The following is a 15719-nucleotide window of genomic DNA, read 5'->3' on the forward strand; positions in this document are numbered from 1 at the left end:
AGCTGGAGTGGTTTCTGATTCCTGCATCAGTATCCTGACTGATACAGCAGCAATTCTGCCTTTGGACACGGTGTTTGCTTTCCGTAGTCAGGCGTTAGCACGTCAGGCTCCCCCGACCTTGGGCGTCTTACTGCCTCCAGGTGGCAGGAGGCTAGTGACTGCTCCCTGAACCCCCAGAAGTATAGATGGACCATATTTGTGATGTGGTTCCCAGCTGACCCAGATTTGGAGTGGAGGAAGGAGAGATGAGGAATGGAGGTGGGTGCAAAAGGATAAATTGACTGAACTTGAAAAGAGAAAATGCTGCCATTAGCATGGGCCATTCTCCCCGTGTGCCTCCTCGGGGTTTGTGAAGAACAGGAATTAAGTCGTTCTGAGCAGCCTCCACAGAGTTATCCTAAAGGCAGATATACCCGGGGTTCTTTGGCCATGGTGCATGCCTGTCCCACTCCAGAGGAGGAAGACAGCAGGCTGGAGGTGGGTTTGGGTTGTTTCTCAGGAATCACAATTTGGGATCCCTGGTACAAAGCCAACTTCCTTACGATTTCACACTGAGTGATTGGCACCACCCATGCCCATATCAAACAGCTAAAAACACAGCCCCAGGTATGTTCCAGCTTTCTGGGTCTTCTCAGATATATGGGTTGTTCCTGAGATCAAGGACAGGGCACTGTGTTCTCTCAGTGTAGTTGGGCCCCTATATTTGACACTTCTTTTACATTTGATTTCAAGCTCCAAATAAAATCCCCTACATATAAAGGTTCTGCAGATTCACTGACTGGATGCCCTCTTGACTTCCTGCTAGCGTGCCTTACTGTACAGTAGGACAATGGTCTCTGAGAGTGGGCTTTGAAACAGCAGGCTCAGCATCACCACGGAACTTGTTAAAAATGCAAATATAGGCTGGGCGCGGTGGCTCACACCTGTAATCCCAGCACTTTGGGAGGCTGAGGTGGGCAGATCACAAGGTCAGGAGATCGAGACCATCCTCACTAACATGGTGAAACTCCATCTCTACTAAAAATACAAAAAAAATTAGGCAGGCATGGTGGTGAGCACCTGTAGTCCCAGCTACTTGGGAGGCTGAGGCAGGAGACTGGCGTGAACCCGGGAGGCAGAGCTTGCAGTGAGCCAAGATTGCACCACTGCACTCCAGCCTGGCTGACAGAGCAAGACTCCGTCTCAAAAAATAAAATAAAATAAAATAAAAATAAATAAATAAATAAGCAAACATATGGCCAGGTGTGGTGGCTTATTCCTGTAATCCCAGCACTTTGGAAGGTCGAGGCAGGTGGGCCATTTGAGGCCAGAAGTTTGAGACCAGCCTGGGCAACATGGAAAATTCCCATCTCTACACAAAAATTTAAAAATAAGCCGGGTGTGGTGGTGGGCACCTGCAGTCCCAACTCCTCGGGAGAATCACTTGAGCCTGGGAGGCAGAGGTTGCAGTGAGCCGAGATCATGCCACTGCACTCTAGCCTGGGTGACAAAGTGAGACCTTGTCTCAAAAAAAAAAAAAAAAGAAAAGAAAAGAACACAAGCCTCACCCCAAACCTTATGAAATGTTAGCTTTCTCACAGGGTTATTGCAGTGATTAAATTGAAACAAGATGTGTAACACATCTAGCCAAGAATCTGCAGTTACAGGGCTGACACTCTTTGGGTCTGTGTGTAAGGGTGCATGTGTGTGTGTATGTACGTGTGTGTGTGCATGTATTTGCACACGTGGGTTAGTGTCTGTGTGTGTGTATGTGTGTGCATGCGTGTGTATTTGTGTGTGCACTTATGTATGTGTGTGTATTTAGGTCACTGCGCACACCCTCAGCTCTGTCTGCGATGGCTCTCTTTGTCCATGATGGACCTGTATTCATCTTTCAGAGTTTTACTCAAGCATCCTTTGGTCTATTTGCCTGTGAGCTCTTGTCTTGTCTTACTCCCCCCGCTTGTACTAGCCCCTCTCCCAGAGCTTCCTCCCTATCCACATTCCTTGTTTGCATGAGTAGAGTAATCCCTGTGGCTAGTCTGGGACCCATTCACCCTTCTCCTGCTCATGGCATCCTGGTTTTATTTTGGGAAATTTTGTGCCACCCAGTCCTAATCCGTGTGGTGTGGTGGGATTGATCCTACAGCATATTGTCTGGGCTGACCAATCTTATTCTACTTCAAGGCCACAGTGATTGATTCACAAGTGAGCACGGGACATACGTGGGTCCAAGGCGGGTAGGTCTCTAGATCTGGGCTTGAAATATTGGCCCATTTTTGGTTGGGATGGGAGAAATCCTGCCCAAGCACAAAGCCAACTTTGAGTAAAGCAGAAGGAGGCAATGGAGACCAACTCCCGGCTCTGAATGCCTGAATCTGTCAGTGACCACCTTTTAGACCCTGTGAGTGTGTAGCTGTGTGAATTAACCAAGACCTCTTTTTGTAAATTTTAGGGGATTTTGTTCTTGTGTTGTTTTCCCAAGTCACTGTGATTGTGGTTTTTTCCCCTTGAAAAAGAACGAGTTGGGTTTCGTGACCCTGTTAAGGGACCTGGTCTTACAAATGCCTGGTTCCTGCAAAGTCCTCGGTCTATGGTAGACCCCCAGGAAGTGCTGAATGATGGAATGAATGTCTACCAAAAGAGAAGGGCTGAGATCTTTTCCTTCAGCCTTTTCTTCACCTCTTCAGCATGCATTCATGCGGCACTGCCCATGCTCCAGGCTTCTCTCCACTGTGCAATTTGCCTGGCTGACAAATTCCCCTGACCACCTCAACCTGCACAGTATCTGTGAGATCTCAGGGGATGAGCAGAAATGTCTGCACCCAAAGGCCAAGTAAGGCCCCTCCACAACCCTCTGGGCTGAAAGTTGTTGAGTTCAGATGGCTGTGCCATGCAGCTGTCTGCTAACCATGCCCCATAGAGTGGAGCAGACACTTGTAAAAACGTCCCTCTGAAACTGGCTCTGTATGGCCCCAGCAGGAATTAATTTGCTATTGTAAATGAGATTAACCAGCCTGTCTTCCAAAACTCATTTGTCCATCAGATGGTGAGGTGACTGGTGGCCAACCTACTGGGGGATGTTTTGGAGAGGGGGGAGCTCTCCACAGAAAACGGCCTTCTCTGCCCTTAACTTCTTTTTGAATTAGGATTCCTCTTCCACACAGCAAATGTTGGCTCAAGCTTTTGGGCAGCTGCAGGACTGCAGTTAGTTAGGGGTAGGAGGCCCACCTGGGATGGGCTTCTGGCAGCTCTCTGAAGGGTGGAGAACATGACCTGGATGTTCCTGCCTGAGGAAGGAACCATGGCCACAGACTGGGCCCTTTTTCCTGCTGCTGGTCAGGGGACTTAGAAGCCCTCCCCGAGTCTCTGGAAATCTTGGATCTGAACTCCAGGCTCTGGGCTTCTAAGCCGTGCCTCCCGCTCCCCTGTCACCTGGTGAGGAATATGGGATGAGGGAGAAGACAGGGTGAGGCTGGCACAACGGGGAGAGGGTCGGAGGAAAGGATGCCAGTGATGTGCTTCAGACCTTTTCTAAAACCACAGGTTGAATTGTTGATTTCTGGTCAGGTGTGGTGGCTCAAGTCTATAATTCTAGCATTTTGATAGGCCAAGGAGGGAGGATCACTTGAAATCAAGAGTTTGAGACCAACCTAGGCAACATGGTGAGACCCAATCTCTATTTAACAATAAAAATAAAAATAAAAAACTAAAGTGTTAATTTCCAAAGCCATGTGTCTGTCTCCTTAGAAAACCTCTCAAACTCACTGGAGCAAACAGCACCTGTAGACTCAGCGCGGGAGCGCCTCTTCCCTCTACAGCTCCACAGACATCACTGCACTCCCAGCAGCACAGGCAGGAGCCTGCACCAGGAAAAGCTCAGGGATGTGCTGGCCCACTCCTCTCCTCTGACCCTTGAGGACCCAGGTCTAGGGGGGATTAAGAAATATGCCATAGGAAAAATAAATGCAAGAGCTGAATGGAACTAGAATCTCTGTCGCTGGACTCCTAGCTCAGTCCCTTTCAAGCTGTTATTTAGGATTATCATCGGACTGCCCTGGGCCTCCAATTTTCAGGAGTTTTTCACCCCACCCAGAGTTTTAAGGCACTCATTGTGAATTACACAAATCATGGATGTAGCCCTGCTAGCGCTAAGCAATAAGTTGTCCTGCATCGCCCCCTGGTGGGCTTTTGAGCTATAGTCATATTAAATATATTAAATTTCTAGGAAGGACTGAAGTGGCTGGACCCTACCTCTGTGATACCTTAATTCCTCCAAGACTGTAAGACGGTCGGCTCCATCCACGCACTCCCTCTCTCCCACCTGTGTGGAGCGCCCTTCTCTTTTCTCAAACTGGATTTGATTATTATCCCAATCCTAGTTGCCTTTCTCAGGCACTCAGTTCTCTTTCACTGAAGCTCTCAGCAGAGTGTGGATCTAGGTGCACTGTGCTTCTATTGGTTTCCACCTTAGCTGGGCTGCCTTCTGGAAACAAGAACTTGGCTGTTTTAAAAAAATACATATATATATATATATATATATATATATATATATATATACACACACACATACACACATATACATATACATACATACATATATATATACATATATATATACATATACATACATACACACACATATATACAAGCATGCGGTGTATAATAATCCCATCAGGGTAAGTGGGGTGTCCATCACCTCAAGCATTTACCTTTCATTGTGTTATAAGCAAAATACTCTTAGTTATTTTGAAATGTACAATAAATGATTGTTAACTGTAGTCACCCTGTTGTGCTATCAAATACTAGATTTTATTCCTTCTATGTTTTTATACCCATTAACCATGCACACTCTCCCCTCCCCCAACCCTTCCCAGCCCCTGTAACCATCCTTCTGCTCTCTATCTCTGTGAATTCAATTGTTTTACATTTTTAGCCCCAACAAATAAGTGAGAGCAGGCAAAGTTTATCTTTCTGTGCCTGGCTTATTTCACTCAACATAATGACCTCCAGTTCCATCCATGTGGTTGCAAATGACAGAATCTCATTCTTTTTAATGGCTGAGTAGTAAGCACTCCATTGTGTACATGGACCACATGTTTTTTATCCATTCATCTGTTGGTGGACAGGTTGTTTCCAAGTCTGGGCTATTGTGAACAGTGCTGCAATAAAAATAGGAGTGCAGAGATCTCATCAATAGCCTGATTTTCTTTCTTTGGGGTCTATGCCCAGCAGTGGGATTGCTGGATCACATGGTAGCTCTATTTTTAGCTTTTTGAGGAACCTCCAAACTGTTCTCCATACTGGTTGTAAGTTTGTTGTTTTAACCTTATCACTGGATACTTAGCACTGGGCACAGTGCTAGGGCGTAGATAAGACACTCAAATATTTCTTCAAGGGAGGGAGCAAGGAAGACAAGGAGGCCAGAACACTTGCCTTGGACATCCTTGAACCCTCACCACACATGATGTACAGCCTGGAAGAATAGCATTAAATCATGGATGGACAAGCAGATGGATGAAGAAATGACTTTCTCCTGGGGCTCCCTCCTGTCAAACTCCCACTTCTAATCTCCAGTGGCACAGGCCCCTGTCCTGCCCTAGCGCCTGTCCAGGTCTAAAGTGGCAATCCTGGGACCCCATTGCCTGCAGTTTCCTGATGTGTTTTTTGCATATATTTTTAAAGACAACGGAACCCAGAGATTGGGTATCCTATTTTTTGGTTTAAAACTGTCAGAGATGTTTGAACCAGAGTGACTCCATCTTGAATAGGGGCTGGATAAAAATGGAAACTGAGATCCGCTGGCCTGTTCCCGGGAGGTCAGGCATTCTTAGCCACATGAGGTTTATGGTTAAAGGAATAGTTGAATTCATGTTGACCAAACAGACCCAAGACTTAACCGACCCAGGAAATGTCCTAATGTCCCGATATCTTAAGAACAAAAGCATTCTTAGTTTAAGAATAAGTTTCGCTTTAAAGATGCAGATTCTTGTGAAGATGGTAGTTACACAAAGATTAGCACTCCTTTGACACAGCCCTGGTAGTGGAGCACATCCCCCACAGCTTTTGCTTTGTTATTCTATATATAATCAAGCATTTCAGCTAAGATGGATGCGTTCCTCCTCTTGCCTTTGGGAGCGCCCTGCTGTGTCTACGAAGTAGCCCTTGCTTTATTCCTATACTTTCTTAATAAACTGGCTTTTGCTTTACTCTGTGGACTTGCCCCCATTTTTTTCTTGTGCAAGATCCAAGAGCCCTCTCTTGGGGTCTGGATTGAAACCCCTTTCCAGTAACAAAACCACAGTGGCCCTGATTTTCTTAGAGAGAGTTCCTGAGAGTTCATAAGAAAAGATTTGAGTTCTGATTGTATCCAGATCAACCAGCCTGACCTGGACATGTTGACAATTGTCGGTGCCATTACAGGAAAGTCTCCATCCAGGAGAGGTGGGGGACAGGGCCGGTGCCCATTTGCCTTCTAAGCAAATGCGTCAGAGACTGTTCTAATAGGGAAAGAAAGTATAACTAATGAAATTAAATTCAGGGAAAGAAGATGAGCTCTACTAATGATTAATGTTCAACTTAATAGATCAGCAAGACATGCTGAGTTGAGAAGCTGCCCAGAGGGTTCCAGCCCACTGCCCAAGCACAGGAGGAACAATGAGAGGAGCGACTTCCGCTCCCCGCACCCGCGGCTTGTCTCTGGGGAAACACAGTTATTAATTGCTCTAAAATGTCAGTCACTTTGCTTCAAAGTAGCCACTTCCCCGGCTGCTTTCTGATCTCCCCCTTGAAAATGACTTCCAGTGTGGACATTGACTCTAGCTTGTGTTTAAAACAGAATTTGGGGCTGGGCTTAGTGGCTTATGCCTGTAATCCCAGCACTTTGGAAGGCCAAGGTGGCCGGGTCACCTGAGGTCAGGAGTTCGAGACCAGCCTGGCCAACATGGTAAAACCTCATCTCTACTAAAAATACAAAAATTAGCTGGACATGGTAGTAAGCACCTGTAATCCCAGCTACTCAGGAGGCTGAGGCAGAAGAATCGGTTGAACCCAGCAGGTGGAGGTGGCAATGAACCAAGATCACGCCACTGCACTCCAGCCTGGGTGACAGAGCGAGACTCTGTCTCAAGAAACGAATTTGGGGGCTACCTAACCTATCAATGCACTAGGCTTTTACATCTTTTTTTCTTTTAAAGACAAGAGTCCCACTCTGTGGCCCAGACTGGAGTGCAGTGGTGCAATCATGACTCACCACAGCCTCCATTTCTTGGACTCAAGTGATCCTCCTGCCTCAGCCTCCCAAGTAGCTGGGACCACAGGCCCAACACCATGCCTACCTGAAACAAGCTTTTTACAAAGTGACAAATCAGCTCAGTTCAATACATGTGGGTGGGATCCTGCTGTTCTGCTGCCCTGCCCCTGTGGCTGCAACCTCAGAAGGCAAATACCCACAGGGAACAGACGCGCCCAGAACAGTGTGAGGCAGGGTCCGCGGGGGCTTCCAAAGAAGAAGACAGAGAGCTAGAAGGGGCCTCAGCTGAGGCAGTGCCCGTGGGCCAATGGTGGCCGCACTGTCTTCCTGGAGGGACAGGCCCTGGGCTCAGAGCAATGTGCCAGCTGGGGCTGGGATTTTCTACTCTCTCTTTTCCAGGCACCAGTGGCAGATAGGAAAGGACCACTCCCCCAGGGTTCCCCTTTGGGACACATGGCCTCCTTCCCTCTCCATCCCTTCCTCCTGGGGTTTCATGGAGCCCCGACTGTGTGCTGGGCCCTGCGGCAGCTAAGGTCACCAGGCTCCAGGCCCTGCTCTTGCAAGAGATCCAGACAAGCTGCCTGGGAAGTGAACAGTGGGAAGCCACACACCAGGAGAACTGGAGCAGGCAGGCGTCACGGTGCGGTGTGGGGAGGGGTGGACATCTGTATGACAACAAAATCCTCCCTCTGTTTTGAATCTCGCTGTATTGAACTCTGCAGTCTTTAAAATAATGTAATCTCTAGGACTCTGCAGCTTCCCAAATCCTATTGACCTGTGATTTGGATAAGAACTGATCTCATTTGTGTCTGAATGAATGAATGTTGTCTGTGCAAGCAGCTGACTTCAGGGCTAGGCTGGTCTCCAGCATCATAAGAGCAAAGGCATGCTTTGTGGTTACAGATTGGCACTGGAGCGGCCCTCCCTCCCTCTCTTTTGGGGACCTCGAGGGTCCAGGGGCGAGGGGAGCCGTGCCAGCAGCCTGCCTCAGTGTGTGTTCTCTGAGCACCTCGTGACCTTGCTGGGAGTGTGTCTGATCAGCCGCTTCCCTTGTGACCAAATATTTGGTCATGGCAGCAGGAGAGAATTCCATCAGTGGACAGCTCTATTTTTAAGGCTCTGGCTTTGTTTTCTCTTTCCTGAGAGGCAGTCCCTGCAGCAGGCTTGAGCCTCTCTCACTGACAGCCTGCCTCGCATAATGTTAAGCAGGCATCGGACACTTGCTGGAAGGCAGGGAATTGCAATGAAAGAGCACGGAGGTGAGAAGCTGTGCTCCTTGGGGTGAAGGCAGCTTCTGTGCTCCTGGGATCTACTGTTAAGCCAGGGTGACGCCAGCTTGCATGCTACCGGAGGGGTAAGTGTGTGTGTTTGCGTGTGTGTGCACGCATATTCTAAGATGACAGCATCCTGTCTGCCTATCACTGCCTGAAGCACCCCTTTCTCCAACCCCACTAATCAGCTCATTCGCTCACCTTCCCCTATGAATGTATCTCTTTGCCCACCCCTTTGCCTGGGACAACCTGTCAATTTCCAGCCCTCCTCTCTTTCCTTCTCTTTTCTGCAAAACCTCGTGGGATGCCACATGAGTCTGTTTTGTGTTGCCATAAAGAAATATCTGAGACTGGGCAATTTATCAAAAAAATGTATAATTGGCCATGGTTCTGCAGGGTGTACAGTAAGCGTGGTGCCCTCATCTGCTTCTGGGGAGGCCTCAGGAAGCTTTTACTCATGGCAGAAGGGAAGTAAAGCCGGCATCTCACAGAGCGAAACAGGGAGCAAGAGAGGTGCCTGGCTCTTTTATTTTATTATTTATTGTATTTTTTGTGTGATTATTTTTAACTTTTATTTTAGGATCAAGGGCACATGTGCAAGTTAGTTATATAGGTAAACTGTGTGTCATGGAGGTTCGATGTACAGATTATTTCAGATAATGGGCATAGTACTCTGTAGACATTTTTCCTGATCCTCTCTCTCCTCCCACCTTCCACCCTCAAGCAGGCCTCGGTGTCTGTTGTTCCCCTCTTTGTGCCCATTGGTTCTTATCATTTAGCTCCCATTTATAAAGAAGAACATGCGGGACTTGGTTTTCTATTTCTGCATTAATTCACATTGGATAAAGGCCTCCAGCTCCATCCATGTTCCTGCAAAAGACATGATCTCATTTTTTATGGCTGCATAATATTCTATGGTGCATATGTACCACATTTTCTTTATTCAGTCTACTGTTGATGGGCACCTGGGTTGATTCCATGTCTTTGCTGTTGTGAATAGTGCTGCAGTGAACATATGTGTGCATTTGTCTTTATGGTAGAGTGATTTATTTTCCTTTGGGAATTACCCAGTAATGGGATTTCTGGGTCAAATGGTAATTCTGTTTAAGTTCTTTGAGGAATTGTCACACTGCTTTCCACAATGGCTGAGTTAGGTCACCCTCCCACCAACAGTGTACAGGAATTCCCTTTTCCACGCAACCTTGCGCCAGGCTCTTTTAAACCACCAGCTCTTACATGAACTCATTGCTGCAGGGAGGGCACCACGCCATTCATGAAGGATCCACCCCTATGACACAAACACCTCCCACCAGGCCCCACCTCCAACACTGGGATCAAATTTCAACATGAGATTTGGAAAGGACAAATATCCAAACACATCAAGCACCCTCTAATCTAGTAGCTCAATCTCAGCTCTCCTGCGAGCTGGCCCTGTGGTTTTTGCACATGCGCTTCGTCAGTCGAGGGATCCTTTCTCCTTTGTGACAATGTGACCTCTCATAGGGGACATGCTGCCTGTCCAGAGCCCCATCAGAGGCTTAGCTGCTCTTGCTATCCAATCTCTCCAGGGACATCGCAACCCTCCTCTTGCACACCCGCCGCTCATGCCCTGAGTGATAGATGGTGTTGTGTGGGCTGTGCTCCTGTTACGCACCTGCCATTTGTGCCCTCAGGAATAGGTGGCGTTGTGTAGGCAGTGCTCCTGGTTTCTGCTGGAGAATAACTGGTCCATTTTGACCTTCTCCAACCCCACAGTTTTTACCTCTCTTGGACTGGTGCAGGGGAGCATGGCTGGAGGCCAGCCAAGTAGACATTAATTCTTGGTCTGTCCAACCCTTGGGAAATGCTCCTTTCAGCAGCGCCTCCAGGAGAATGTCCCCTAATTCATAGGGTCCCACCCTTTAGGCTTTCTTACTACCTACTCCTGGACACAATGGCTGATCCACACGTGAGCACTGGAGCCATTTGGGACAATCATGGAATCACCCGGGGATTTTTTGAATGGAGTTGATGGTGAAATATACAGTCTCTGTGCTATCAATAAATATCCTCCTGTTCTGGCCGGAGTCATCCTGGGAGAATGGGGCTGTCATGCGGGGAGGCAGATAGTGGGCTCCTGGTGATACCTGAACCTTGAGCCCTTCTCCACTGCCATTTGCTTCTGTCGGCACATCCACGTCCCTCTTGAACCACAGCAACCAGGAGGAGGCCAGGCAAAGACCCTGAGAGGGAGGTGAAGTGGGGCACAGTTGAAAAAACAACACGATTTGGTAACACACTTCAACATTGATCCCAAGGGAAGGTGGATTTTAAAAAAACATATAAGAACAAGACCTTTGCCACTGCTCTTGTAGAAGTGGAAGAACAGGACAGTGGGGCCAAGTGAGAGGCCACCTAATCCATGGGTAGTGCCTGCGAGGCGTCTGCAACATTGACCTGGGGCTCTCCCCACTGTGGGTGTGTTTCCTGTGAGTTCAAGGGTTAGTGGAAAAGAAAACAGCAAAGCAAGGTCATGTTAACTGGAAAATGTGATTATCTTCAAAGAGGTAAGACACCGTGTGGGCTTCTCCAGCTCACCTCCAAAGAAGACACATTCATTCAGATTTGCCTGGATCCCCAAAAGCCCCCTTTTTGTAAAGGTCAACAGGAAGAAAAGTCTCTGATGCACCTTAGTTCTGGATTCAAAAATATTTCTGACATTTGGGCTACATGGCACGTCTGGATGTTTTTCTACTTTCTCAGCCTTCCTGGATCGAAATCAAGCTTCTCACCTTTAAAGATCCAAATATCTAACCTTCACCTGCCAATGGTAATAGGGCGTTTTCAGGGTCTAAAATAAAAACAAACAAACAAACCCTAAAAGTAAGCAAGATAAAGGCAGTAGCAGGGACACCCTACAATCATTGTGCAGGCGCAGTCACAAAGCAGAGGCCCCTGTTGGGTCCAGTCCCACGGCATTGCAAAGTGACCCCAAAGTGGCAAGTCTCGATTGATTCAAAGTTTCCCTGGCCAGGCTGAGGGTGCACCCAGGCAGAAGAAACAGAAGTCCCAGCAGGATCTGTGGCCTGTGTTTTTTCTAAAGAGGGTTCCAGGAGCTTCAGTATTTAAAGGGGAAAGATCAAGTGGGAGGGGAAGAGGAAATGAAAAAAAAGGAAGGAAGGTAGGCAATGAGGGCAGTGTTACCTTCTTGAAAAGCCCGGATCTGTGCTCAGTGAACATTCATTTCACATGCGAAAAGGAAGGCAAAGGGTAGGGGGTGGGCAGTTAATGATGCTTTTGTCTGATGCCCGGTAAATCTACATTTTACATAAGCAAGCATGTGAAATGACAGCTATCTGGGAACAAAAGGATGGCAGTTTTTGCATGACTGGGTTCCCAAGCTTTACCTTCCCTTTGGCATGGTGAGTTTCAGGTCCTGAGATTCGGTTTTTCTTTTACAGCATTAGAAAAAGAAGATGGATTTCAATGTATTTAGACAAGGCAAGCTGGTCTAATTCCACCCACACTACACTTCTCTCTGCTGTCTTGGTCTAGTAGCTACACTCAGCAACATTTCCTTTTGGCTCGTGCAAGTACTTAAACATTAAAGTATCAAAAATTTAAATACAAATGTCAAATATTCACTTGAACATAAATTAATATCTGAATATCTAGAGGTGGACGTAGGGTGTAGGGTTAAGGGGAATTCTACTGTATTCTCATATCCCTGGTCACCTTCAAAGTTCATTCCAAGTAATTTACTTATTTATTTGTTTATTTATTTATTTATCTTTGAGACAAAGTCTCACTCTGTCACCTAGGCTGGAGTGTAATGGCGCGATCTCGGCTCACTGCAACCTCTGCTTCCTGGGTTCAAGTGATTCTTGTGCTCAGCCTCCCAAGTAGCTGGGATTACAGGTGCGCACCACTATGCCGAGCCAATTTTTTGTATTTAAATAGAGATGAGCTTTTGCCATATTGGCCAGGCTGGTCTCGAACTCCTGGTCTCAAGTGATCCACCCGCCTCGGCCTCCCAAAGTGCTGGGATTACAGGTGTGAGCCACTTAATGTAATTTAAATAGTAGTTTCTATAATACTAATTCATGAGAACAACCCCATTTTACTGATGGGAAAACCGAGGCCCTGAGATCTGAGATGCTGAAGCTATCAGGCTACAAGTGGTGATCTGACTCCTATAACAGTGCTCCTTGCTCATTTAAAAACATGATAGGCACCTTTTCTGTGAAGAGGGTGGAAAATTGCTTCAAAAGGGCTTTGAAATGTGCTACGTAAAGTGCCTTGGAGAAAAGGCCGCTAGAATACAATGTGAAATGCAGTGAATTTTGTATTTTAATTGACTCGAAGGCTCACACTTGTCAAGGTGGGGAAATAGCAAGTCAATGACTGTACTGCACACAGAAATTACACAACTTCTGAAAACAAATTGTGTTCCTCTAATGGATTTTACCTATGAATTAAAAATTGAAAATTCAATTTTCTCTTTGGCCAGCTGTGAGCTTTTGCCTGATAGGAACTGAGTTCCAGCTCACACAGAACCCCAAGGCTCCCTCAGGACCCTGGGCAAAGTCCGGCTCGCAGAGGAACCCTGGCTCCCTTAGGACCCTCACACAGGACCCCTGGCTCCCTCAGGACCCTGGGCAGAGTTCCGGCTCACACACGACGCCCCTGCTCCCTCAGGACCCTGGGCAGAGTCCCGGCTCACACAGGACCCGCCTGCTCCCTCAGGACCCTGGGCAGAGTCCCGGCTCACACAGGACCCCTGGCTCCCTCAGGACACTGGGCAGAGTCCCGGCTCACACAGGACCCCTGGCTCCCTCAGGACACTGGGCAGAGTCCCAGCTCACATAGGACCCCTGGCTCCTTCAGGACACTGGGCACAGAGTCCCAGCTCACGCAAGACCCCCGTCTCCCTCACACCCGCTGACTGATGAATTCCTGTGTGTTTTGTATCCGTGACCCAAATCAGGTAAAAGCTGCATAGAGAAATGGGAGGCGGTGGGCACAAGGATCGTGCGACGCCCCGCTGTGGGTGTGGGACCTGCAGCCTCAGGGGCATGCGGGCTGGCAGCCACTGTCTCCATGCCGGGTACGTAGATACTGCCATCACCTTGGGGTCAGCATCTAGGGCCCTATTGGAGCTCACACTCAGCTCTACTGGGCATCAGATTCTGTCTGGGATGCACGGCGGGAATTAGAGACATGGGTTGGAAGTGGGGCTCAGAGATCAGAGACAAATGTGGCCAACTGAAAATCAGGCTGGGCTCCAGCTCCGGCTGCAGATGGGTGGAAAAGTCAGAGGTGCAGCAGCTGCTCCCCAGCCGCGAACGGCTGGTGAAATGGGAATCTGATGGAAAGAGGCTGCACGGTGCTCACCTGAGTGGCCAGGCCTCCAGGCCCGGCGAGGGGGACTCTGAGGTGAGCAGGTCGGAGGTGCTCCTGGTTTTCCCATCAGCCCTGGTCAGTGTCTGGGGGATGCCCAGGAGAAGCAGCAGAAGCCCTGGGTCCCTGCTACCCATGGAGTCTAGAGGGCCGAGCCTTTGCCCTGGGATCGGGGAGCCAGGGCATCACAGACACCTCCTGCCTCATGCTGTCCCTGCGCCCCGGGGCATCACTCAGAGACTCCTCCATGGCAAGGGCGCTCTGTCTGGTGCCAGCCAGGAGCCAGGGGAAGATTCGATTAGGAGACTATGGGTGCCTTCGCAGGCTTTCAGGAAACTCTGATGGACTCATGAGGCCTCTCTTTCCTGGTAGTGGCTCAGGGGTGCTGCAGTGTGTGGCTGGTGTGCTCCACGTCTGTCTTGTCTTCCAAGGGGACTCCCTGGATCAGAGTTAGGCAGGGACAGGCGACCTGTTTCTGGGATCTCCAATCACTGCCACTGGAATCTAAGGGGACTCACCCAAACCCACCCACAGGGCAAGCAGCTCTCCTCGCAAATCAATGATGTTCCAAATGAGTTTTTCCAGCAGAGCACACAGAGACCCCTCTTCAATAACTGCTTAATATCTGTAATAGGTCTTATTAGTGTTTTCTAAGATAGAGTCCTGTTGAGAAGGCCGGCTGAGCTCCCGTGTGTCTGGCATCTGGCTCGGCAGAAGGGATTTCCATGTCTGCTTGCAGGCTGGGGCCCAGTCTGGCTCTGGATGGAATGCTGGCCTTGCACAAAGGAAGGGAGCTACAGAAGGCAGGATTCAGAGGCTGAGTCCCCCAGGGATGGAGGACACAAGATGTGGAATGCAGGTGTCCTGTGAGCAGGGGCAGGGAGCACGGAAGAGGGCAGTCTCAGGCTGTGCAGAAGGAAAGGCAGCAGCAGCTGCCCCGGCCCTCTAGGCTTCCTGGGTGAAACCCTTGGCTTTACAAAGACCCATCTCTTGAGGGGCATTTGGGGTGAGGCAGGATGGAGAGGCCCTGGAGTAATGATGTCAGGGCATGTGAAGGAAGAGAAGAAGTGGTTCTCTGTGCTGGGTTTTGGCAGAGAAGACTTGGAAAGGATTTGAGTTAATACATTTTAAACAATGAGTTTTCAAAGGTTGTTCCAGGCAGTCTCTGTAGATGCCTCTCACGGGAGGAAGACATCTCCAACCACATTTCAGGAGCCAGCCCTGCAGCTTTATCCATGCCAACAGCTGAAAACAGCGCCAGGCAGCAAATGTGCAAAGAAGCGTGTGGAGATGCCATGGGGATTCAGGCCTTCAGCCTTGCCCTCCAGGAGATGACCACATTGGAAAGTTCTGCTCCACCGAGCTTTTGTAGGCGTTGTCAGAGAGCAGAGCGGTTCCACACCCTGCATTGCAACGGAGGCTTAATGCAGTGGCTGTGACTGTTCCCTCCACTGGGGAGTTCAGCGCAGAGCTCCCCGCTGCAAGGATCTGTCTCTAAGCACCTGCCTCCCCGGAACAAGTCATCACGACAACCAAGAGAGCTTGCAACCGAGACTACACAGCCCTCATCCTTGTAAGGAAAAAAAGTGACAGGTATTAAATAGTGGCTATTTGAGGAAATAATAATAAATATCTTTGGCAGAGTAAGGCTGATGGCTGCTTGAGTCTCAATGGCTGAGACTCTGTCAGCCTTCCCATTATGAAACCCATTTTTCAGGGTTTATAACTTGAAAGTAAAAATGTGCTCCAAGCAGAAGAAACCTGGCACACGAGGTCTTTGACCAGAAAGAGGGACCTGAACAGATTAGTTCAGATCAATTTGAGATTGTAAAGAAAAT

At 48.5% G+C, this 15719-nt stretch overlaps 3 annotated features.

Moving 5' to 3' along the window:
• Positions 5610-6361: an enhancer, noted in NCBI's record as "OCT4-NANOG-H3K27ac hESC enhancer chr19:29371723-29372474 (GRCh37/hg19 assembly coordinates)". NCBI's record gives its function as "activates a minimal SCP1, AML or CMV promoter by ChIP-STARR-seq in primed H9 embryonic stem cells {active_cell/tissue: H9 hESC(primed)}" and the evidence as "EXISTENCE:reporter gene assay evidence [ECO:0000049][PMID:30033119]".
• Positions 6362-7111: an enhancer, noted in NCBI's record as "NANOG-H3K27ac hESC enhancer chr19:29372475-29373224 (GRCh37/hg19 assembly coordinates)". NCBI's record gives its function as "activates a minimal SCP1, AML or CMV promoter by ChIP-STARR-seq in primed H9 embryonic stem cells {active_cell/tissue: H9 hESC(primed)}" and the evidence as "EXISTENCE:reporter gene assay evidence [ECO:0000049][PMID:30033119]".
• Positions 7862-8611: an enhancer, noted in NCBI's record as "H3K27ac-H3K4me1 hESC enhancer chr19:29373975-29374724 (GRCh37/hg19 assembly coordinates)". NCBI's record gives its function as "activates a minimal SCP1, AML or CMV promoter by ChIP-STARR-seq in naive H9 embryonic stem cells {active_cell/tissue: H9 hESC(naive)}" and the evidence as "EXISTENCE:reporter gene assay evidence [ECO:0000049][PMID:30033119]".

This window comes from Homo sapiens, chromosome 19 (assembly GCF_000001405.40).
Source record: "Homo sapiens chromosome 19, GRCh38.p14 Primary Assembly".
Classification (NCBI taxonomy): domain Eukaryota; kingdom Metazoa; phylum Chordata; class Mammalia; order Primates; family Hominidae; genus Homo; species Homo sapiens.